The sequence below is a fragment of the Homo sapiens genome, chromosome 7 (assembly GCF_000001405.40).
Source record: "Homo sapiens chromosome 7, GRCh38.p14 Primary Assembly".
In the NCBI taxonomy this organism is placed as follows: Eukaryota; Metazoa; Chordata; class Mammalia; order Primates; family Hominidae; genus Homo; species Homo sapiens.
The window spans coordinates 110,795,742-110,821,854 of record NC_000007.14 but is presented as its reverse complement, the minus strand read 5'-3'; the positions used below and the strand labels follow the sequence as shown (position 1 = coordinate 110,821,854).

Below are 26,113 nucleotides of genomic sequence, written 5' to 3'. Positions count from 1 at the left end.
ACCTACTGGGTTCAAGCGATTCTCCTGCCTCAGCCTTCCAAGTAGCTGGGATTACAGGCATGCGCCACCACGCCCAGGTAATTTTTTTTTTCTTTTTGTAATTTGTGGTAGAGACAGTGTTTCACCATATTGGCCAGGATGTTCTCGATCTCCTGACCTCATGATCTGCCTACCTCGGCCTCCCAAAGTGCTGGGATTATGGATGTGAGCCACTGTGCCCAGCCTACCTTTCCTTTTTCTATAAGGGATTTAAAGCAGCTTGACTTTGTAATTATGACATATCATAAATGTCTAGGTCTCAGCCTCCATTTTCTCATGAGTGCAAATTTTGTAAAACTACCCAACATCCTTCAGAGAGTTGTTTTAAGGATCACATTTTTTTTATATCTGTGAAATCCCTTTAACATATCTGATATACAAGCAGAGAATTAAATGTTTAGCAATTAAAGATTGAAATTACATTAATGCCAGCAAACGTGAAACTCTGAGGAAACTCATTGATAAAGACTCTGTTTATAGTTACACTGTAAAGTCTGATCATTTATTGTAGTGCTGTGTAATGGTTAGAACTGAGCCCTCTGAGCCAAACTGCCTAGATTCTAATATCAGCCGTTGACTATCTCTTTGATTTTGGGCAAGTTATTTAACCTTTTTTATAAGACAGAAATAATCAGAGTATCTACCTCACAGGTTGTTGGGAAGAGTTAAATGAGTTAGTGTATATAAGAGTTAAATGAGTTACCTCTTGGGAAGAGTTAAATGAGTTACCTCTTGGGAAGAGTTAAATGAGTTAGTGTATATAAAGCATACAGGTCAGTGGCTGATGCATAATTTAGGTCTCAGTGTATATTAGATATTTTTACAATCATCATCAGAGACAGTAACATCATAAGCATTTGTCATTAACCAATGGAAACATTTTAGTGGAGGGAGATTGGAGATAATCATATTGGTTTTATAGATGAGGAAAAGAGAGCTCAGGAAAGTTGAAAAGGTGTGTTCAAGGACGCATAAATATCTAGAGAAAGATGGCACTGAGGCCCCAACACTTCTTAGTTCGGTGTACTTCCTACCACCCCTTATTAGGGTAGAGTCTGTGCCATCATGAGTAGGTTAACCAAAAATATAATTTGAGTTGAAAAATTATGTATGCCTTATAGACAATAACATTGCAGATATTCTCCTTTATTGATAAATTTGCTAAAGGTCAGAAGTTTCCTCTTTACAGATGTTAGATCAAATTTAGCATGAACTGTTATGGGTGAGTGGGTGGGTGGGTGTGTGTGTGTGTGTCAGATAATACTCATAATATGAAACATATATGTTCAGATAATACTTACTAGTTACTGTGTTGCAGTTGCAGACCACCCAGTATTCAATGGGAAACAAAACACCGATATTCCATAAGCTACTTTATTGATATAGCTTATTTTATAATTTTCTTTGTGATTTATTAGGTGAATTAAACACATAAGAAGAGATTTTCTTGTTTTGTAAGTTTATGATGCATATTAGATCTCAGGGTAAAGTTATTGAACATTAGCACATATGCACACAAAACACTGTGATAACATCACAGAATATTTAATGATACTTGAGTTTCACATATTTTCACCTGCAAAGCCCAGAGCATTTCATAAATATGAATGCTGTTAATCAAAAATTTGAATAAGTAGATGGATTTTGTATTGTACCCTGAAGATAAGTAGATTTAGATTCTTATTGAATTTATGTCATCTATTTTAGGAGTTAGGTGGAGGTGATAAAACTGAGCCTAGATTTTTATCATCTGCCATAATAAGTGGTTCCAAATAAAACATTTTAGAATGTTACCAGAAATAAAGAGTTGCTAGATTGTCATACTCTAGATATGAAAAACAAGGTAAATATGGAAAATTAAATAAAACAAAATGAACAGCATGTAAATATTGTTTAAAAGATATAGAGAAATTAAGAAAAAAGGTATAGTCAGTTTATAAAACACGTTTGTATTGTCTTGTTTACACACACCATGGAAATCAATAGTTGTAGTTTTACTTGAAAGATATAATTTATAATGATTATTTAACTAGGAATTTCAACTTCTTCCTTTTAATTCGTATTATTATCCATTTTCCCCATTCTGAGCTCCTCTAGCTCTAAAATTCACATGATGTTCTACAGTGGGACATTTTGCTTAGTAAAATCATTGGGGCCTAATTTGCTAAAAGAATTCATACTGTGTGGTTTAAGAAATTCATAGTGAGTACCTAACAATTACATGTTGCTGAGGTCATGGTTTTTGGAACTTTGTGATAGTGATGGTTTGGGTTTGCACAGAAAAGTAAGTGGAAGCAGCTCTCCACCAGCACACTTATGGGATCACTTTCATTATCCATACCCTATTTTAATTAGACATCCTGGGAGTTCTTCACAGTTTTCAAAATGGGGACATTTCTGCACTTCAGCCAAAATATATGCATCACAGTTCATGTAGGGTAAAGTTCATATCATATAGAAACTGCTTGGGCTTGAAGGCCTTTCTCAGTTCCATCACAGCCTCATTCTCTCCCAGCCTCCGAACCTCCCCAAACACTAAGCTGCTTCTCTTCCGCTGTAACCTATCTTTACCTTACCATGACTTCCAGCAAGGTTCCACCCAAGTTAAGTTACAGTTCCAAAGGAAGTTCCAAAGGAAGTTCACAAATCCTTTGCTAACTTCTCCAGTCAGAACTGATTTTTTTTTCTTTTTTTTATTTTGTTATTATTATACTTTAAGTTTTAGGGTACATATGCACAATGTGCAGGTTTGTTACATATGTATACATGTGCCATGTTGGTGTGCTGCACATATTAAGTCGTCATTTACATTAGGTATATCTCCTAATGCTATCCCTCCCCCCGCCCCCCACCCAACAACAGTCCCCAGAGTGTGATGTTCCCCTTCCTGTGTCCATGTGTTCTCATTGTTCAATTCCCACCTATGAGTGAGAATATGCGGTGTTTGGTTTTTTGTCCTTGCGATAGTTTGCTGAGAATGATGGTTTCCACCTTCATCCATGTCCCTACAAAGGACATGAACTCATCATTTTTTATGGCTGCATAGTATTCCATGGTGTATATGTGCCACATTTTCTTAATCCAGTCTATCGTTGTTGGACATTTGGGTTGGTTCCAAGTCTTTGCTATTGTGAGTGCCACAATAAACATATGTGTGCATGTGTCTTTATAGCAGCATGATTATAACCCTTTGGGTATATACCCAGTAATGGGATAGCTGGGTCAAATGGTATTTCTAGTTCTAGATCCCTGAGGAATCGCCACACCAACTTCCACAATGGTTGAACTAGTTTACAGTCCCACCAACAGTGTAAAAGTGTTCCTATTTCTCCACATCCTCTCCAGCACCTGTTGTTTCCTGACTTTTTAATGATCGCCATTCTAACTGATGTGAGATGGTATCTCATTGTGGTTTTGATTTGCATTTCTCTGATGGCCAGTGATGATGAGCATTTTTTCATGTGTCTGTTGGCTGCATAAATGTCTTCTTTTGAGAATTGTGTGTTCATATCCTTCGCCCACTTGTTGATGGGGTTGTTTGTTTTTTTCTTGTAAATTTGTTTGAGTTCATTGTAGATTCTGGATATTAGCCCTTTGTCAGATGAGTAGGTTGCGAAAATTTTCTCCCATTTTGTAGGTTGCCTGTTCACTCTGATGGTAGTTTCTTTTGCTGTGCAGAAACTCTTTAGTTTAATTAGATCCCATTTGTCAATTTTGGCTTTTGTTGCCATTGCTTTTGGTGTTTTAGACATGAAGTCCTTGCCCATGCCTATGTCCTGAATGGTAATGCCTAGGTTTTCTTCTAGGGTTTTTATGGTTTTAGGTCTAACATGTAAGTCTTTAACCCATCTTGAATTAATTTTTGTATAAGGTGTAAGGAAGGGATCCAGTTTCAGCTTTCTACATACAGCTAGCCAGTTTTCGCAGCACCATTTATTAAATAGGAAATCCATTCCCCATTGCTTATTTTTGTCAGGTTTGTCAAAGATCAGATGGTTGTAGATATGCGGCGTTATTTCTGAGGTCTCTGTTCTGTTCCATTGATCTATATCTTTGTTTTGGTACCAGTACCATGCTGTTTTGGTTACTGTAGCCTCGTAGTATAGTTTGAAGTCAGGTAGCATGATGCTTCCGGCTTTGTTCTTTTGGGTTAGGATTGACTTGGCTATGCGGGCTCTTTTTTGGTTCCATATGAACTTTAAAGTAGTTTTTTCCAATTCTGTGAAGAAAGTCATTGGTAGCTTGACGGGGATGGCATGGAATCTATAAATTACCTTGGGCAGTATGGCCATTTTCACAATATTGATTCTTCCTACCCGTGAGCATGGAATGTTCTTCCATGTGTTTGTATCCTCTTTTATTTCATTGAGCAGTGGTTTGTAGTTCTCCTTGAAGAGGTCCTTCACATCCCTTGTAAGTTGGATTCCTAGGTATTTTATTCTCTTTGAAGCAATTGTGAATGGGAGTTCACTCATGATTTGGCTCTCTGTTTGTCTGTTATTGGTGTATAAGAATGCTCGTGATTTTGGTACATTGATTTTGTATCCTGAGACTTTGCTGAAGTTGCTTATCAGCTTAAGGAGATTTTGGGCTGAGACAATGGGGTTTTCTGGATATGCAATCATGTCATCTGCAAACAGGGACAATTAGACTTCCTCTTTTCCTAATTGAATACCCTTTATTTCCTTCTCCTGCCTAATTGCCCTGGCCAGAACTTCTAACACTATGTTGAATCCAAAATGTAAAGACCATCAAGGCTAGGAAGAAACTGCATCAACTAATGAGCAAAATAACCAGCTAACATCATAATGACAGGACCAAAGTCACACATAACAATATTAACTTTAAATGTAAATGGGCTAAATGCTCCAATTAAAAGACGCAGTCTGGCAAATTGGATAAAGAGTCAAGACCCATCAGTGTCGTATATTCAGGAAACCCATCTCACGTGCAGAGACACACATAGGCTCAAAATAAAAGGATGGAGGAAGATCTACCAAGCAAATGGAAAACAAAAAAAGGCAGGGGTTGCAATCCTAGTCTCTGATAAAACAGACTTTAAACCAACAAAGATCAAAAGAGACAAAGAAGGCCATTACATAATGGTAAAGGGATCAATTCAACAAGAAGAGCTAACTATCCTAAATGTATATGCACCCAATACAGGAGCACCCAGATTCATAAAGCAAGTCCTTAGAGACCTACAAAGAGACTTAGACTCCCACACAATAATAATGGGAGACTTTAACACCCCGCTGTCAACATTAGACAGATCAACGAGACAGAAAGTTAACAAGGATACCCAGGAATTGAACTCAGCTCTGCACCAAGCAGACCTAATAGACATCTACAGAACTCTCCACCCCAAATCAACAGAATATACATTCTTCTCAGCACCACACCACACCTATTCCAAATTTGAACACATAGTTGGAAGTAAAGCTCTCCTCAGCAAATGTAAAAGAACAGAAATTATAACAAACTGTCTCTCAGACCACAGTGCAATCAAACTAGAACTCAGGATTAAGAATCTCACTCAAAGCCGCTCAACTACATGGAAACTGAACAACCTGCTCCTGAATGACTACTGGGTACATAATGAAATGAAGGCAGAAATAAAGATGTTCTTTGAAACCAATGAGAACAAAAACACAACATACCAGTATCTCTGGGACACATTCAAAGCAATGTGTAGAGGAAAATTTATAGCACTAAATGCCCCCAAGAGAAAGCAGGAAAGATCTAAAATTGACACCCTAACATCACAGTTAAAAGAACTGGAAAAGCAAGAGCAAACACATTCAAAAGCTAGCAGAAGGCAAGAAATAACTAAGATCAGAGCAGAACTGAAGGAAATAGAGACACAAAAAACCCTTCAAAAATTAATTAATGCAGGAGCTGGTTTTTTGAAAAGATCAAGAAAATTGATAGACCGCTAGCAAGACTAATAAAGAAGAAAAGAGAGAAGAATCAAATAGACGGAATAAAAAATGATAAAGGGGATATCACCACCGATCCCACAGAAATACGAACTACCATCAGAGAATAATACAAACACTTCTACGCAAATAAACTAGAAAATCTAGAAGAAATGGATAAATTCCTCGACACATACACCCTCCCAAGACTAAACCAGGAAGAAGTTGAATCTCTGAATAGACCAGTAACAGGCTCTGAAATTGTGGCAATAATCAATAGCTTACCAACCAAAAAAAGTCCAGGACCAGATGGATTCACAGCCGAATTCTACCAGAGGTACAAGGAGGAGCTGGTACCATTCCTTCTGAAACTATTCCAATCAATAGAAAAAGAGGAAATCCTCCCTAACTCATTTTATGAGGCCAGCATCATCCTGATACCAATGCCTGGCAGAGACACAACCAAAAAAGAGAATTTTAGACCAATATCCTTGATGAACATTGATGCAAAAATCCTCAATAAAATACTGGCAAACCGAATCCAGCAGCACATCAAAAAGCTTATCCACCATGATCAAGTGGGCTTCATCCCTGGGATGCAAGGCTGGTTCAGCATACGCAAATCAATAAATGTAATCCAGCATATAAACAGAGCCAAAGACAAAAACCACATGATTATCTCAATAGATGCAGAAAAGGCCTTTGACAAAATTCAACAGCGCTTCATGCTAAAAACTCTCAATAAATTAGGTATTGATTGGACATATCTCAAAATAATAGGAGCTATCTATGACAAACCCACAGCCAATATCATACTGAATGGGCAAAAACTGGAAGAACTTATTTATTATATTGTACTCCTAGAGCCCTCTCTCGGCATCTCACAGTTAAGACGTTGTAGTTCAGTGTGGTTTTACGAGGCTTGCTATTGTATCAATTGTATTTTGTTTCTAAAAGAAAACTACCATGTGTTTCATTTTTGAAACCTACATGGTCCCTGGCATATTGAGGAGGAAATAGATTAAATATCATAACAAATTTCTATTAACAAGTTAAGTATTGTGATCACATCTGTCTTAAGTTTATTTTATACTTAAAATACCAATTTGTAATGAGGTTTCTTTCTGAGCAATCAATTATTAGAAATGACTTTCATACAGCTAAATTTTATATATATACATATATATATATATATATCTGTACTTGACCAATTGTTTTTGTTGAAAAAGAATTCTACTCTGAGCGATAGAGTAAGTCCATTTCTCTTAAAGTAAAATAAAAGAAATAGAAGAAAAAAAGAAAAAGAAATCAGGTTGTCCTGGTAAATATGAAGCATATACTTAACAGCCAAAACAGTTTATTGGTTTGTGATTTTTTTAGATATAAATGCTCCCTCTTTTAATTCTTAGCCTATTATTAATAATTAATACTCTGATAATGCTTTTTTACTATATAGTTTTTTTTTTTTTACTTTGATATTTCCTCAAGGTCATATACATTTTCATCTTAGGAGTAAATAGAGAACAATGCTCTTCAGCTATTGTTTAGTCATAATAAAATTATGTAGGTTCCAAAATAGGAAAAACTGATAACCTCAAGTAGGCCCCAGTTAATGATTTTGCTACCTTAAAATGGCAATTGCTTATAAAAACATTATACACCATTCCTGTGACATAAGAAAAATTCTCCAGAGAGGAAAACTGGGGATGGAATTTGGAATGTTGCTTGACTATGCGTTTAGAACTGCTCCTGAAAACAATACAGTAAAATGGTAATGTAGCAATTTCTAGCTGATGTTCACAAGCAGAGAGAGCCCAATCCTGCCAATCAAATCAAGAGTGTTCTCTGTTTCATTGGGAATTGATGTCTTTAGTTAATATACTCATAAGCGTTAAAAAAATAGCCTGTGTTCTGAATTAAGTATGGAAAATACGTTTCTGTCCAGGAAATTAGTTGAGATGAAATTATTTTATCTGAGGAAACAGTACAGTAAAATTTCTTTCCTTTTGGTGTAATTTTAAAGTGTTCTTTCTATTTTAAACTCAGGCAAAAAATGCACTTTACAAATTGGGTGATGGAACTACTTTAGTAGAGTTAATAAATATTAAATTAGTCTAGGACAGTATTTATAGAAAGTAAAAAAAAAAAATCCTGGTGTGTTTGCTTAGAATTTCTGATCTGTCTCTTCATAATTATACTTCTTAGCTTTCTTATTTTTATCTACAGTTAACATCCTTCCACCATTCCCTCTGGTAGCCTGACTTTGATTAAACAATATTTTAGGCCAGGCGTGTTAGAAAAAATAGGCCAGGTGTGGTGGCATGCGTCTGTAGTCCCAGCTACTCAGGAGTCTGAAGTGGGAGGATGTTTTGAGCCTGGGAGATCAGGGCCACTGTGTGCTATGATCACACCACTGTACTGTAGCCTGGCTGACAGAGCAAGACCCTGTCTCAAAAAAAAAAAAAGAAAGAAATGTTTTAACTTTATGTTTTTAAATAATTCTTAACCCACAGACAATTAAGAATTTTCATACCCAAAACAGACCTGAAGTAATGTTGCAAAATGGTAATTTTTTTCTGTTAAAAGGACCAAATAAAAAAAGGAAAAACAGTTTGACTTCAATTTTTGCTCAAATGAATTCAATAAGAGAGGGAGTTTCAGTTTAAAATGAGAATTAGTTATTGAATAAAGTATAAAAATAAGATGATTTAGAAAGTTAGAAAAACTCTTCATGTACCTCTTTCCATTCTATATCCTTTGATTTTATGACAACTTTTTCACAATGTCCTTAATCCTGAAAAAAGAGGTTAGTGGTAAAATATAGGGGAAAACATTTTACTGCAAAGTGATTCCTCGTAACTCTAATTCAGCTTCATGCTGTGTCAGGTCTTCTAGGAGTTTTTATTAAGCAAACTAGTTGCCATAAAAAATGCAGTACCACTTGAAAATGCCAGTTGTGTGAATGTATGTATATTTTAATAAAAACAGACTTGGCATTTGCTTGATTTGCCTTTTTTTTTCTTTTAAGAAGAGAGAAATACATAAAGAAGTATCATCTATACATGGAATTTTAGGTGAGGATAAATGAAAAACGAAATGAGTGTCCTGTTCTTAGTAACTTTGCAAACAATAAGATCTCATTATGAGTTCTCATTATGAGTTAATGTTCATGATTTTGAAACAAGTTTTCCCTTCTTCTCTGTCTTCATTTACCCCAGCCTCCATCTTCTGTGAGACAATTGAGACTTCAGTCCCAAACTCCCAATCCTGATCCAGGATATGTAACTTAATTCCAAGTCTAGCCTGAGCCTGGTTTCATTAGAACCAACATATGCCTTGTCCTCCTGCTAAATAAAGCCTTCTGATGCCAGCTCCTAGAAGATAGCAGCGAGACTTGTTTCAGATTACACTGTTTCTCTCTTCTGAATTATACTGCATTTCTGTCTCCATTTTTCTTAAGCCCACCACTTCCATAGGACTTTCTCCCCCTTTATCACTGGCTCCTTCTAACTCCTGTGTCACTCCTGAGGTGCCAAATAATGATGCAGAGGGTGATCAGAAATGAGCTGTTGCTTCAGCTAGGGTTTTTCTACCCTCATAGTCTGCTATGGTATAGGACATCCTATTGATTAGATTGTAAATTATTTTCTCTATTTGTTAGAATACAGAGATTAAGAATTTAGGGCAGATCTGTTGCTCTGAAATGGAAAGATGTAAATAATCTGAGTAAAAGAGATTCACTTCCTATATTGTACCACTCTATTTAGAAACTACATAGGTACATTTATGTATATATACATATGTGGATATATGTATCTATAGGTTTATTCCATCACCAAATATATGTGTCAGAGAAATAAGGTTGGACGAGTACATATGAAACAGGCTATCAGTGATTATCCCTGGAGAAGAATAGAGGTAGAAGTAGCAGCAAAGTTCTAACTTGAATCTTATTGAATGGCTTAGGTCATATGCCTGTCCCTGAGCCAATCACTGTGGCCAGAGGGTTAGGATGCTCTTATTAGGTGGGCCCCTCTTAAGCCAGAGGTGGAGTCAATTCTACTTAAACTGCATGGACTAACAACTAGGGAAGGGTGGTTGCATGAAGAAAAACCAGGATGCTGTTTCCAGAAAGGGTACGAGATGCCAGGCAATAAATACAGCACATATCCATGATAATACTCTCTTGGATGTCTTCATTTGTTTACAATGTTTGCATAACACTTTACTGTATATAATAGCTCTAAATTACCATAGCTTAAAAATTAAACAAAAAATACACAGACTATTTCAATTTTAATTAAATTGCTATAGAAGCTAAACCAATACTTCTGCCAAAAATTGTCTGGATAAAAATAAAAAAAGAAAAGGGAAAGTTGTTTGTACACTTACCTTCACCTGTTCCAGCTGCATTGATGAATAAGCCCAGAATGATATTTATAATAAATTGCCATCCCTTATATTTGTTTATGAATATATGAACCTTTATCACATTTCTCACCAGGCTAATGCTTGGCATTAAGGCCTTCATAGATTTGATTTTTAGGATTTTCTGTGATATCTTCTTTATGAGTCACTAAGGTCATTCTAGAATTGGTGATTTTTAAACAATTAAGCCTTGTGCTTCTCCACTGTATGAGGAAAATATTTTACAGTGTTATAAAAATAGAGAAAATTGCTAAAAAGCAATAATATTTATTTTTTTCCTTAAGAAAAATGACTGTCAAACCAATAAAAAAAACTAATAAATTTCACTGGTTTCATTACCCGAGTACATGTCAAGCAAATCAAAAATATCCAAGTACATAGGGTCTGGTATCAGAAGCCAGAGCCTGGGGAATCTTTCAGTCACCCCAGCCTTCATCTGTCCCCCATATCCTCAACATGGCCTCTCCTGTCACCCCAGGGTAGGTACACAGGGTTCTACGTTGCTGACCTGATAGAAATGGAAGTGGTTTCAGCTTTACGCATCTCAGCACATTTTCAGGGAAACAAACTTTTTATGATGTCAAGTCATGGCACCCATAATTGAAGTTTCAAATATTTAGTCGTATTAATTTGAAGAAAAACACATATTTGAGGCTTAAATAACATATCAGTACAAACTACTTCACAAATTCAGGTATTGTTTATTATAATTAATCACTTTCAAACTGAATTAGGCTGTGGTCTGTTTATCCCCAAGCTTCAAACTCTGCCACTGAGGATATTTGAGGCTCATTAATCCCATTTATGCCTAGTGTTCCATTATCGGAACTCTAAGCATGTGGGAGTTATTTATATCCTACTGCTTAAGGTCTGATGGCAAAGATTCAAAAAATTGCAACCTCAGGAATAAATGGGTTAAGGTTCTTACCATAACCAGAGTACTGACAAGCAGCTTAAATGTTCATTCTCATGTCAACAATTCAGCTCTTTTCTTAGGCTGTTTAATAACTGACATACCAGAAAGGGGTCTTATGCCCCCAGTATATTAAGATGTTTGGAATGGGTAACATAATAGCTCCTTTAGCAACACATGCTATCTGATTATAACTATTTCTTCAGTGACTTATAGCTGAATTTTTCTCACTGAAGAATTTGAAATGTTAAGAGTCTTTTTACTCAATGGGCCAGAAATGGTATCAGCAGCCATATGTGAATTCTCTTATAGTCCTTTTTAGCTGAATATTGATAAATGAATTAAATGCAGCCATTGTACTGTTTCACCAAGTTAAATGAAATCAAGCAAGTGAGAAGAAAGAAATTAAGAGGACTAAACAAGGGATAAGCAAAACATTTCCAGCTGAGAGTTGGGAACGAGATGGAAGCCGGCAAGGCAGAATAGTGAGGACACCGGCTCCAGATGGCAGGCATTTAGGAAGGAAGCCTTTACACCAGCCACCAACCTCTTAGAGTTGGCGTTGGTGTGCTTTGTCTTTCGTGTTTTTCATAATGCAAAGCTACTGCTGTTTCCAAAGTGTATGTAAAGCTTTTGGAACTGAAGAATGGGGGAAAGGGTGAGCAGTGGCAAAGAGGAGTAATTTTTATTTTATATTCTTAGATTATTTTCGGTTTGGTGTCATTGGATAGTAGGGCTTCAGAATATATTTTGCCTAATGAATTGCTTTGTTGTTTAAAACTCATGAAGTATCCAACTGATGAAACAGATAGTTGCCCTGTTAGAGAAATGTAGTAATTGTTTATTTCAGGTTTTGAAGAACTTCATTTTAACACTATTTTCTAGGAGATTTGAGAAAACATAAAGAAATTATTATATTTATCTAGTTCATAATGTATTTTACATAAAGTAATATTACCTTTTGGTCTGGCCCGTTTGTTATTAATACAGTATGTAACATAGTCTTTTAGGTAACTTTTCTTTATAAAGATAATACAATATATGTTTATTTAGGAAAAATCTGGATTGGCACCTGACCAAAAAAAGTTAAAGCAAGTTATCCATAAATACTAGTCATAATCTTTTTCATAATCTTATTCATAATTAGAACTAAAAAGGCTAATATTTTGGTCTTTCTTGCTATATATAAAATAATGTATATATGTTGATAGGCATGACAGGTATTTTGTTACTACTGCAATCCCAATGTCTAAGAGTATTTGTTTTTAGTATTTACCTGATTTGTTTTTAGTATTAATATCTTAGTCTTCTTCAGTGAGCTAAATACATTATTATTTATTACCTACTGAATATTAACAGGCCAAATCTCTTCATTGATATGACTTTGCTTTTTGCCTGCCCACCAACCAGGCTCTTATTTGATGGTTTCTTTCTGCCAGTGTAGAAAAATGATGTGAAGTTGAAACGGTAATTGAGCTTCACTGTGCATTTTTATTTGGGAAAGATGACAGGGTTTTAGGTTGCCACATTAAGGAAGAAGAATGAAGGTTAACGGTGATTTTCAAGTAACTCCTATAGGAAGGGTGATTTTAGCTTTATCCATTTCAGCATATTTCCGAGGAAACCTAAACTTTTTATGATGTCGAGGATTATGAATCATGACACCCATAACTGAAGTTTCAGAGAGATTTAATTATATTGTTGCTTTGACGAAAACCACATAGAACCATATTTAGGTACAATTTCAAAATCATTTCATCCAGTTTTCACGTCTCTATGTTTCCTTTAAACTATCTGGTAAACATCCAGAGATTCTGAATGCTTCCCTCTGATAGATGCAGAGAGCATTTAAGCTAACACTCAGCTGTTTGTTTATTATGTTTCCAAACTTTTTCCAGTTTCTGTTTAGTATTCAGTGAAATGGTGTAAAGAAAACCATCTGCACTGCAGCTGCAAAGGGATTACCTTCGGTTCTTCTTTTCAAAGAGAAGCCAAATGCCCCCTGTGCACAGCCCTGGACAGTTGCTTGGATCTTGTGCCATATGTTTTATACAGTACTCCTGGAGCTAAGTCAATTAATAGCTCAGAAGACACAATTAGCCTTTTAGTGACTGCATTCATTCATAAAGGGCTGCCCAAAATAAATAAACTCTTGATTCCCTTCTCCTATTATAATTGCAGACTGAAGATTTGAAATGTTGGATGACAGCAGATGTACTGAGATTGTTAGCGCATGGTGGCTGCTCTGCTTTATACTGCCTACTACCACCAAGCCAAATTCCTAGGTGTGGGCTAGGGTATTGGAACAAAGTAAAAATGAAATTATCCTTAACAGAATGCATTTAAGTTGAATTTTACAGTCCTTACCATGTCCTGAGATAGCTTTTATCTTTATTTGAATATGTATTTTAAGCAGACACTGAGTATTGAAATGTAATTATTGAAATGTAATTACTAAATGTAATTATTAAAGTGAAAAACTAATATTTTCCCATGTACTTTCCTTCCATGGCAATCTTTTTTTAAGGTAAAATTTTAAAACTTTGAGAATATTTTAGCAAACTCATTTGTAACTTTTTCTTAAAAACCTTCAGGCTGTGTGTAGCTCTAGAAACCATTGTAATCATAACACACAGATATTAAGCCAATTTCTGTCATCAACTAGGGCAGAAGTTATACTGATTTCTTCTGACTTGTATCTGGTTCAAGGGACAGTCCAAGAGTCAGTGGTTTAGCTGGGGGCCAGTTTTTGTGAGGATGACAAGATTTGCATACAGAATTGAAAATTTTCTGTTTCCTTGGTAGGATACCTTAAATAACTATAACACTAATGAAGTTGTATTTAAAAGGATAGATTTAAAGACTTCTTTACAAAAAGTTGTAATCATTTTCTTCCAACCTGTTTGTACACAATTATATATGTCTTCATGTATATTTATTTAAATTTTTTTTAAAAATTAATGCTTTGGGAATATCAGTTGCTTTCATAGGAGTCTTAAGTAATTTATCTGAAATTATCAAATATTTACTTGGTTAAAATTAGACTTTGTGTTTGGGTGACTAGAGAAAAGGTACAAATGAAGGGAAGTGGTTAGGAAGAGGGATGATTTGTCACTTGTTTTGTTCAGGTTGGAGATGGATACAAGCACAATGAGATTTCTTGTTTGTATTTTTTAACACACATCAGAAAATTCAGACACGCTTTCAAACTAGGTTTTTTAATGGCCAAAGAAATGTCCTCCTGGGTTGAGAATAAGAATGAACATACTGTATTTGACCGAAAGGAGCTAACTCTATCAGCTTTAAAATGGGGTAGACTCCATAGGGACTAGAAGAATAGGCTTGAAGAATAAAGCTTCGCATAGAGGAGAAACCAGAGTAAGCACATACAAGGAATGTAGAAAATTAGAGCATATTAGGTTTTAACCTATCTTCTAGTAAGATTTTAAAACTAAGAGCCAGAACAAGTCTCTTAAACAGTGACCAAGAATTGATACAGAGATGGGGACTGACTACTTAGCATAGATTGGTCATTATGGTCCAACATCCATGGATAATCAGAACAGACATATACAAAGGTAATATTAAAGGATTTACACCTATCCTGAAACATATTAAACCTCCTCAAACCACAGTCGGGTCATTTGGCTATTTCATCCTAAGGAAATATTTAACTGTTTTTCAAATGCTTTTTACTTTCTAAGAGTCCTTTGTACTTTCTGACATAATTAAGATTTTTCTCATCTTTCATATCACCTTTTCTGACTATGCCAGAAAATTTCAAAGGGGGATTTAAAAAAAGAAAGCATTTAAATTGGATCATATTTCTAAATTGAGAAGTTGACCAGAAATTTGGCAGCCATAGATCTGAGCACAGAAATATTTTATCATTTTAATTGCCTTTTTAGTGTGCAGTATCCCTTTAGTTGGTTTCATTTTTTTGAGACCAACTATTTTTTGGGTTTTGTGGGAATTTTTCCCTTTGAAGATTGTTAAGAATTTTCATGCTTAACATATAGGAAAGAAGATTATCTGTTAAAGTGCAAGATAATAGGGAATAAGATATGGAATACTTTTGAAACTATGGATAATTCCTCTCAAATAATCAGTTTAATGCTATCTTGGATCCATAGCATATCTTCCTTCAATAGCCCTTTACTTTATTTCAAGACATTTTATCATGTTAATCTATTAATGTTTCCATGAGTTAAATGGATGCCAAATAATATCTGCATTGAACATATTGAAAAATTATGGTACAATGAAGTCTAAAGTGAAGTCCAAAATTATGCAGAAAAGAACTTCAGAGCCAGAACATGAACCAACTCTCTTGGACTTCCGCTGACATTTGAGCTCGTTGCTTTAAATACATGCAATAAATAGGTTTTGTACTGATTTTTCTAGTAATTTCATGGATTTAGCTATCCATCTTATTACTCACCAGGTTCCCTCTGTGATCAATAACAAGGATTCCTAATTAAGAGTGCAGTCTTTGGCCTAAGAATGGAACAAAGATAACTGGTCCACTTATTGATTTATTGAATGAATGGCTTCCCCCACTTTAGCAAGGGTTGGTCTAACTAGAGGAGTTAACTCTTCACTGAAAATAGACTAGATAATGCCAAATATAAAGTCTTTTTGATTTTTCTACCTTGTATAAATTGTGTGCTTGGGGTATAGCATTATACCCCAAGCATTATACCACGTCATTAGGTTTTAGAAAAGTTTCAAAATATCTCTAAAACACAATTATGCAAAGTAAAAGCCATGTATAAGACAAGTCAAGATTGTAAGGCCAATGTTACTGCATTGTTAGAAGAGGATTTACTGTGTTTATTTGGCTGTGATATAATACAATTTTATGATTCTATTACATTTTTCTTAATAGGCCTGAGAGTTTATATTTTTTCCTTGACACAATTGCTCATAAATCTTGAATTTAATCAGTTAGTGTAATAGCAAAATTTTAATTATAGGATCATAGAATTTTTTAATGTTATTTTAAAAAATGACTTAATGGTGGTTTATTTTTAAGAAGATTTAACGTATTTAAAGATAGGTGCAAATCTTTCAATTCTGTATTAGTATATATCTGTTCAGATTATGCATGGATGTTGGACCATGAAAGAGATTGTATTATTCGTTCATTCTACAGCTTTACTCCATGCCTATTTTATTCCAGGAATTTTTTCTAGGTTCTGTTAATTTAACAATAAATAAGCCATAATTCATTACCCTCCTGGAGCTTACCTTCTAGCACTGACTTGTACTGTGGAACAATAGTTACCATTTTCAGACTGGTAAAGTTTGTTCTTAAAAATTTAAGTTTCTATTAAATGTTAATTTATGTTATATCAGTAATAGATGAAACACTTCTTGAGCACCTTTGTTTATTTATTCAGTAGGACTTTTGAGTCACTCATCTACCTTTTAAAACTGGTGTGACTTCTTCGTACTTTGTTCAAGATTAAGAAATAATTCAATGTAGCATCTATGGTAATATTAAAGTCAATTTTTTCCAGGCAGTTCAGTATCGTGAAGGACATCACTGGTGATTTTATTTCCTTATTTAATTTCAGGAGTTTTCCTGTAACCTAGCTGTCTATAAATGTTTAAGCTAATGTAAAGCGCTGAAACAAAAATGTTAGAGGTTTGTTTCTCTCTTACCTAACATTCTGGCTTAGACTGCAGGGTAGCCCTGAACCTTTAGATCATTCAGAGACACAAGTTCCTTACATGTTTTTCTTCCATCCTGTAAGTAGTCCTCATTAGCATGGCCGAAGCTGGATTGCTGCTACTTTGGTATTCCAGCCCCAGCGGGGAGTGGGTTTGGGAGGAAGTCCGGGGAAAGCTGATTGTCTTTAAGTTGAAAATAACTAGAAATTGCATTCCTCACTTTTCGCACATCCTATTGACCCAAACTTAGGTGTCCACCTCACACTGCAAGGAAGTCTGGGAAATGTAGTCCCTAGCTGAGCTGCTGTGTGCCCAGCAAGACTAGGAGAATGCATTGAGGGGACAGCTAGTAGTGTGCCACAGGACTCGGTGTGCATTAGAAACCAGAGTTCCAGAACACCCTGCCTTCTGATTGGTTTTAGTCAATCCCACAAGTGATAGGTGAATCACTACTCTTTTAGACTCCAAAGACTTCCATGTAATAAAGTTTTGCTTCAGGGACACAGAACAACCTACAGCCAAAAGTACAAAAGTACATTATGATATGAACTTTTGCCATGCAAATATTTGGTGTATAGGAGGTTCTTTTAGGAATGCCACACAGAATTTTTCATCTGGAGATAGTAATTGGCATGAAAGAAGGATCTAGCATTTAAATAAATACTATGTTTCTAATACCAAGATCAGAAACACAGTGTTTACCACCCAAATCCTGGGTGTTTGGAGATGATAATAAACAAAGAGGACATCCCCTATTTCATTTCTTTTTAGAGTGTTTACATGTGGTTTCAAAGCAGCACAATTAAGAAGTTAGATGTAGAGTATTGGCAAACAAGGCTTTTTGCACTTCCTTAATTTACTCAGTGATCATAAACTCATTCTCATCTTTCAAGTACCCATTTTACCAGTTGTTCTTAAACTTCAGCTTATATCATAATCACCAAGAAGACTAGGTAAACAGATTCCTGCATGGCCCCACCCCCAGACTTTGTAATTCACCAGGTCTTAGGTGGGGCAAGATAATTTGCATGTCTAACAAGTCCCCAAGTGTTGAGATACTGATGGTTCCAGGACCATACTTTGAAAACTACTGGTAACTCTGACTCCCCAGGTGTTCCTTCAAGGAATGACTTCTCCCAATTGCTGGGAGTGCTCCCAGGGGATAGCCTGTCAGCCCATCAGGACTTGCCCTTGGCTACAGGGAGCTGCCTGGTCCAAGGTCACTCCCATTTCTGGAGCTCCCCCCATCCAATGACTAACCACAGCAGAGGTAGGAAGACCCCAACCCAAGACATTCTTCCAGCCCCTTTCAGTGGTAGACCTCCTAGTGGTGTCAACTGACTTCCCTCTCAGCCTCATTCTCCTTTCTCCTTCTCCCTGTGTACACATTGATCCCATTGATTCCTACTCTCTATAAACATCTTAAACACTAAATTCTGTTTCAGAGTCTGCCTTTCCAGAGACCCCATACTGCAACAGTAATGATTCCACACTCAGTGTCTCTCTATGGCAGATCAAATTGAGTCCAGGTTCTGCAGTTTGATGATATTCAAAGTGGACATCAACTGGCTGTCTCTAAGCTCTGCAACTCATACCTCACAGCTGCTTCCTAACCCTCTCTTCTTTGGTCTATCTGATCCTCACCATCCCCTACACAGCTCCTACTATTCATTCCTATCTCAGAGATTATGTCCATTTTGTTCCCACTACCTAATATGCCCCTCCATTACTGCTCTTTTTACCTATCCTAATCCTATACATCCTTCAAGGCTAAGACACAAACTCATCTATTTCAATAGGCATTCTCCATAAAACCACTATGGAGCTGATCTGGACAGACTTCTAGTAATTGTGTTTATAATCTCTACTTCTTTTGCATATTTCTATTTTAACATCAAGTGGTATTGAAAATGGCCATTTATTTGTGTTTATCCTTCTAGACTGTTAGCTCCCTGAGGGCAGGGACCACACCTAGAGTTATCCTTAAACAGATAACCGGCCCAGAAATGAGTACTGAACCATTGCACTATGTGCCCATAATGCCTTGTAATTTCTCCACCAGCCTTCCGTATGTATCTTCTTGCTTCATCCTCTGCACAGGTTCCTCAGGGTCAGGACTTTGTTTTTTGACTCTGTTATATTCTCGTGGTTCTTATAGTTGTGCTTTAAAGAGAGCAGATGTTCAATAAATACTTACTGACTGAAAGAACCTATTATAGTTAATGGTTTTTATGGCCCATAACAAAGAAGACGCTAATAATACATATTCTGAATAGAAGACCGTATCTTATGATTTTATTATATATTTCTCAATATTTGAATGCTTATTTTCCTAAGAACATGAGTTCTTCATAGTCTAAGTATTTTATAGTACATTTATAAATAAAATTACAAAATAATAATGGTATAGGATATTAATTTGACGTAAACAAAAAAATGCCACCTAACAATGTAGGGAAAAATATAATTAAAAAAAGAATATAGAGCTGTACTTACCAACACAGACACAGGCACACACACACACACACACACACACACACACACACACATACACACATACACACATACACACTGTCTTTAAAAGAAAAATTCCTTTTGAAATACAATCCATACCACCAGGTTAACCTCAGGACCTCTAATTTCATGAAAATTCAGAAGAGGATTTTTAATAATGTAAGCTTCCTTTTAATTGTCATAATTTCTATTTCTGCTAGGGTAGACCAAGGATTCTTATCTATATTCAAAGATGACCAAGATCAATGACTTGGATTTAGTTCAAATTTGCTTCTATTCTGGTTCATTCATAACACAGCAAAGAATATATGTTGTAAAGGGTACAGGTGTATGCCCCGGGCTCCATGTATTTCATGGAGACATACCTAAGGTTTGGTGATCTTCACTGTCATATGGAATGAGATATCTCTGTTAAATAGGAGGATCCTAAAACTGTGAGTTTGCTGCTTCTCCTACCACCTACCTCCCATAGCTGTCAGCACAGAGATAGGCATACAAGGCAATAATCCTACAACTCAGCAAGCTGTGTCACCCAACCCAATATCTGTTACCCCATGTTCCAGACCTCGACAATTCTGTTGTGCCAGCAGTGGGAATTCATACCTTACCAGTGCCTGTGTACAGGACCTCAGTATTTTCCATTTATGTCCCTGTTAGGACTCTCTCTGTGAATGACTAACCATGACCTACTTCCTTTTTCAGTATCAGAGGGTTCACAACTGAAATGATTGAAGAGTGAAGTTGATTTCACATTCTTAAACCTATCAATTCCCAATTCTAGCTAGAATTGTAACAGCATAAATAGGAATGTCAATGTTCCTCTTACCCATCTTTTAGGATATTATTATATGGCATCACTGTTTATAGTTTTCTGGCAATCCTTATTGTTCAGTGTCTCAGTCAACTGAGTTAGTTCTCATAAGAACAATGACCAAAGGAAAGTATAAGTCAAGCACATATTTGGAAAATCTAGTTTCGAGACAGAGGTCTAGAGAGCATACTTTTGTTTTTATTATGGGAAGTTCAAATAAAATTTAGACAAGCAGTATATGGGAAGGCTCAATTTGAGCAAAATATTAGATTCAAACAGCAACATGCCTCTAAAGGGACAACTACAGCAGCTAAGTAAATAACAGATAGCAGGTGCAGGCTCTATATTAGAGCATATGAGTAGTTTTGGCTTTCCAGTCAGACCTAGAAAGCTGGTGGAAACTGAGGTGTAGAAACATTTTCAACTATGTACAGCAGTCATGAGTTAAAAACAATCACAGATAACAGTATGCTGCCATCCATGTATAAAAATGAATCTACTAAACCATGGGCTGTAAGTCATGTGCTTTGGTTTGTTTGATTTGATTAGGGTTTTTAATTTTTTTGTTTTTAGTGCCTGATCCACATTTCTGATGAAGGTACCCATTGTGAACAGTGGCCCCCATTTATGAGATATCTGACTAAGACTTGTGGAATAGAGTAGACTCATCTTGGAGCCACTTCTTCATCCTACATTATTGGCATCTGCCCTTACCAAATGTACCCTGTAAAGAAGTTATGATTGTCTATTATATATCTAGGTATATGAACCTTAAAATAGTAACCTGGATAGGGTCAAATGATGCTAACCTGTCACTGTTTTCAAGAAAATGTGCGCATGTCCTTTGCCACAATGAATAAAAATGCTGTGATAATATATTTGTAAAAGCATCATCTTAAGGAAAATTTGTTATAAGGAAAAAATAGTGTTATCTACATCCATATATTTTCATTCAAACCAGCATATTAACTTTTTGGGAAGAAACTATGATTCCTTCTTCTTATAACTTCTCAAAGAGTTGGCAGGTGTGCACATAGGGAAGCACTTCATGAATGTTTATTGATGTGATCCTTTTGTTGTTTAATGTGTATCTGCATATTTTCTGGTTTTGTTCTCTTTTCTTGGCCATTCAAAAATTCTCTGCAGATTCATGGAAAACCCTGAAAATTAGCTTATAACAGAAGACATACATCATTAAATGAGATGGACATGCCATTCAGCTTTGGGCGGGAGGGGAGCTTGATAATTTGCTCTCTGTATTGTCATTCATTCTCAAAGTATTTCTAATACTCCAATTGTTGTATCTATTCCTGCAGACTTCCCTCTTGATACTTTCTCACACTTCCTAATGATCTTCTCTATTAGTTAAATATTTTGTTTATAGAATGTACAGCAACAACAAACTAGAAATTTATAAATGAAAAAGATTAAAAAAGCTATCAATTCTTCTTTCAAGTGCATGAATTCCATTTGAACAGAATGACTTTGAAATAATGAAGAAAAGATTAATAAATATTTTACACATGCATTTAATATTTTAGCAAATCTTTAAGGTCAATTTTGTGTTAAAATTTATGGTACCACTTCAGGGAACATTTATGGAAATGAATTTCAGAATTCACCCTCATTGTCATGGAGTGATTTACAGTAGAGCTGGACAGGCCTACATCACTGCAAAGCTGGTTATGTTAGAGACTCTATGGGTGAACTGAAGCAAAGCCTCAACCAGTGGAATTCGTAATTCAGACAAAACCATCGATATTGCCAGTGAATCACCCATCTGCTTGGCCTAGGCTGTCTTGACTTTGCCTGAAAAGGCTACCACTGAACATTTTCCGTCTTTATTTGAGAAATAAAATGACTAGCGGTAAATAAAAATGATAAATTGTCATCTTTGATCTTTTCTTCCAGAAATTATATACTGTAGTTCCTCGAGTAAATGTGACTCCAGTATGTTTCCCTTTACTAAAGTATTTGGGCAATCATATGTTAAATGCAAAGGATGTGGTAATCTATATATTACATGACATGCTTCCAAAAACAAATTCAATGATATAAAAATAGAAGATAATTTTATCCTCTTTCTTTTAAAAACAACTTTACAATCTAAATTCATTTTATAATATACTCAGTCAATTAGTCTACAAATATGTCCTGACTTGAGTTTCAGAAAAAAGGCACATCATTCATTTAATTTTTCTTCAATTTAAAGTCCCCTTTCACTTGGTTTTAGTGAAGGAGTCACCCTTTCAAAAACTGGTTTTAGCACCCTCAAATTTAATTCTTCAGTTTTTGGTTCTAAGCTTCTAGATATACATATGGTAAGCATGCAGTTAGCAGGCGAAGGAGTCCATACTCTAGGCATTCTTTGTAAAGACCTCAATGTTAAGTTGACTACTACCCAGCTCGGGCTAATAGTATCAAAGGGAGATAACTGGTATTTGAGATTGGCAGTGTTCACTTATTCCTTTACATTTTTTTCAAAATTTATTTATAATTCGGTAAATCACTAGAAAACAACAAGCTTAACTGACATAAAATGCCTTATTTGAGTTACAGCGTATTACCATTGTTTTAGTTTTTATCAAAAGTCAGCAAAACAAAGGACCACATGAAAAGCCTTTCTATATTATCTGCAAGAGGCTATTGATGTCATTGCCCATTAATCACAGAGTTCCTTATATATAAATTTTTATATGTATGTTTCTATATGTAAATTTCTCTTATACTTCCAGATAAAAAACGTCTGTTTGTGGAGATGTTTCCCTTTAATCAGATAATAAGAACTGAAAAAGTAATTGCTTCTCTTTTTCCTTAACTAGTAGAAAACTCAGAAATAAATATAATGTTCAATTGAAGTCACCATCTTTCCTCAGATCTTAGTATTCCCCTCCACCCCCGCTTTCTTCCTATTTGGCTTTAAATTTAGTTTTCTAGCATTAATCTCAATTTTCTATTACAAATTGGTATAACGTTTTTCTAGAACTAGAATGAATATGTTACTAATATGAATGCCAAAAGTTAGAGATTCTCTCCTTCATTTGTTTATTCAATCATTCATCCGTCTAAGTTTATCTCTTTAAAAATATTAGTTGATGATCTCCTATGAGTCAGGTAGTATGGGCACTGTGGATAAAATTGTGAATGAGGTATATTCTCTTCCTTCAAAAAGCTTCCCTTCTGATTTCTTCTTTGTGCCTTTCATGATGCCAAGCACATAGTAAATGTTCCTCGGAAATGTGTTGTATGATTGCCTCTTCTCTTAGTTGATTATTTTTGAAACTTCATTTATTTGAATGTTTTGAAATAAGATGAATTTTATCTGTTTGAATTAGTTAATCACAGTGCCTAGATTTTAATATTTTGTGCTTTTCTTTTTTTTCCTGTAATTGTGTCCTAGTGTGATTAGAATCACAAAGAAGAAAATATTTTATATTTTGATAAATAAAAGTTATATATAAACTATATGACCGCTGTAAGATTCTTATGGCTTTGTGATTAATTGCACATCTCGTACCTTTTCTTATACTTTGGCATTTCTTTTGTGTTAATAACCATTGTTTGCCCTTCTGTTATTATCAGGCAGAATAGTTATTCTTCAAATCCTTCTTCTACATCATTTAATTTTTCATGGGCACAATGCAAGATCCATTTCAAAACAACTGATTTTTAGGTTATTTATCACTTCTTGATGCTGACATGACACTTATTTTATACTGTCATGCACTGCGATCCTTCATGTGTTTTCTTTCTGTTAGCAGATTTCAACTTCTAGGATATCAGGGATTAGTTTATAACTTTTCAACTCTCCTCTAGGGACTAGCAGTGTCTTCCATATAGCAGGGAACCAATAAATAGCATGTGAATAAAGTAATCAGTTCCCAGTGAATAATATAGGTATTTAGAATGGCAGATATTCTTATACTAGTACCCAGTGTGCTCACACTTACAAGCACGAACTTGCTGTGGCACAACAGAAACGTGTTGTCTAATTGCCTCTTCTCTTAGTTAATTATTTTTCAGACTTCATTTAAATGCATGTTTCAACATAAGATGAATTTTATCTGCTGAATTGGTTAATTACATCAGGGAGAAGGGAAGATGATATTGAAAGCATGCTTTAATTCAACCTAAAAATTAAAACTTTTTTCCATTAATAATTTATTCTTGAATAAAGGTAGACACTTAAAACCAATATTATTTCTTCCTTAAAGCTCCTCTACTACACATATGTTCTACTGTGTAATTTTGATGAGGAGTCAAATGGGGTGAAATGTTTCATTCAGGATTTTTATTTCACTTAGACTTTCAGTTTGTGAAATAAGGTAATAATAATTTAAATTTCATAGCATTTTTTTTTTATTTTCTGAGACAGAAGCAAAGACAGAACTGTTGCTTCCTGAGGAAAAGGATCATGAAAGATCACCTTGCTCTTTACCTTTTAAATTGAGAATCAAAGTTCCATAGATCCTGCATTTTAGTACTTACATAGGAGTTGTTTACTCATAGGTAGTCAGGAAAATGAAACTGGCACTCTTCTTGGAAGTGGGGAGTTCTGATTTACTTTTTGCTGCCTTTGCTCTACAAACCAGAGGCTTACAATGAATCAACTCAATACTTGCTGAGGTCGCAATAAGCAATAAATGGCTGGCTAATGTAGGCAAAGGCATTTAGCTATACTTTGTATGCATTGTAAATGTGATATTTTCTGGAGTGTTCGGCTAACACCTTGTAGATATCCTTGGTTAATTAACCAAGTATTGAAAGAAGGAACCCTATCTTTTCACCTGTGATCTTGCAGGTCTTGCTTTCTAGGTAAGCAGAGCTGTGGGTTGTAATACAAAGATTTTTGTTGGTATGTGAAATCTGAGTTCTTCCTTATCTAGCTTAAACTGTTTCCTCTTCCAAAAAGGAAAAACTATATTCCAGAAAAGTAGTCTATGAAATAACATAATATAGTGTATATTCTTAGTATTTGAAAGAAATTGAGATTGTGTTTTAAGTTACCATAGGATGAGAACTTGGTCCAATAATATTTAACTGGAGAGTTTTTGTTAGAAAATCTCTTTCTAAAAGTCAGAAACAAAGATTTTGAATAATGAAGACAAGAAAAGATAGTAAAATAACATACCATTTTGAATTGTTGTGTTGGAAAGGGCACTGGGCGAGGAAGCAAGAAGATAGAGTTCTATTTCTGCCTTGAACTCATTTCTTTACCTCTCTACAGTGCTTTACCTCTCTGAAGCTTGGCATCCAGGTGGAGCACTGGATGAGTTCTAAGTCCATCTGTATTAGTTCTTTCTCATGCTGCTAATAAAGACATGCCCAAGACTGGGTAATTTATAAAGGAAAGAGGTGTAATTGACTCATAGTTTAGCATGGCTGGGAGGCCTCCGGAAGCTTATAATCATGGTGGAAGGAGAAACAAACACATCCTTCTTCACATGGTGGCAGCAGGAAGAAATGAGAGTGAAAGGGGAAGGCCCCTTATAAAACCATCAGATTTCGTGAGAACTCACTCACTATCACAAGAAGAGCATGAGAGTAACCGCCCTGATGATTCAATTACCTTCCACCACGTCCTTCTCCCAACACGTGGAGATTATGGGAACTACAATTCAAGATCAGATTTGGGTGGGGACACAGCCAAACCATATCACCACCTATCTCTGTCCTACTGCAAGGCAAGCATTGCTTTGTATAATGCTCTCCTTGGGGGTAAGAAAGTTGCTTTCTCCTTCTCTGTATCCCAGAGCCTGGGATTTAGTAGCTGGTTTCTAAATGTTGATTGATTTCTATTCAGTTCCCAGATGT

At 35.5% G+C, this 26,113-nt stretch overlaps 1 protein-coding gene across 18 annotated transcripts in view, besides 1 other annotated feature; it reads left to right on the top strand.

Moving 5' to 3' along the window:
• Positions 1-26,113, top strand: part of IMMP2L (inner mitochondrial membrane peptidase subunit 2) — an 899,849-nt gene that overhangs the window by 740,638 nt on the left and 133,098 nt on the right. For 6 of the 18 annotated variants that reach the window (XM_017012701.2, XM_017012700.2, XM_017012702.2 and 3 more), the window contains one exon: positions 1-26,113. This exon is cut by the window's left edge and continues 13,881 nt beyond it; it is cut by the window's right edge and continues 16,573 nt beyond it. The exons of the other annotated variants lie outside the window; for them this stretch is intronic. The gene's annotated coding sequence lies outside the window, so the exon portion shown is untranslated. 18 annotated transcript variants of the gene reach the window in all.
• Positions 16,831-17,332: an enhancer, noted in NCBI's record as "NANOG hESC enhancer chr7:110444579-110445080 (GRCh37/hg19 assembly coordinates)". NCBI's record gives its function as "activates a minimal SCP1, AML or CMV promoter by ChIP-STARR-seq in primed H9 embryonic stem cells {active_cell/tissue: H9 hESC(primed)}" and the evidence as "EXISTENCE:reporter gene assay evidence [ECO:0000049][PMID:30033119]".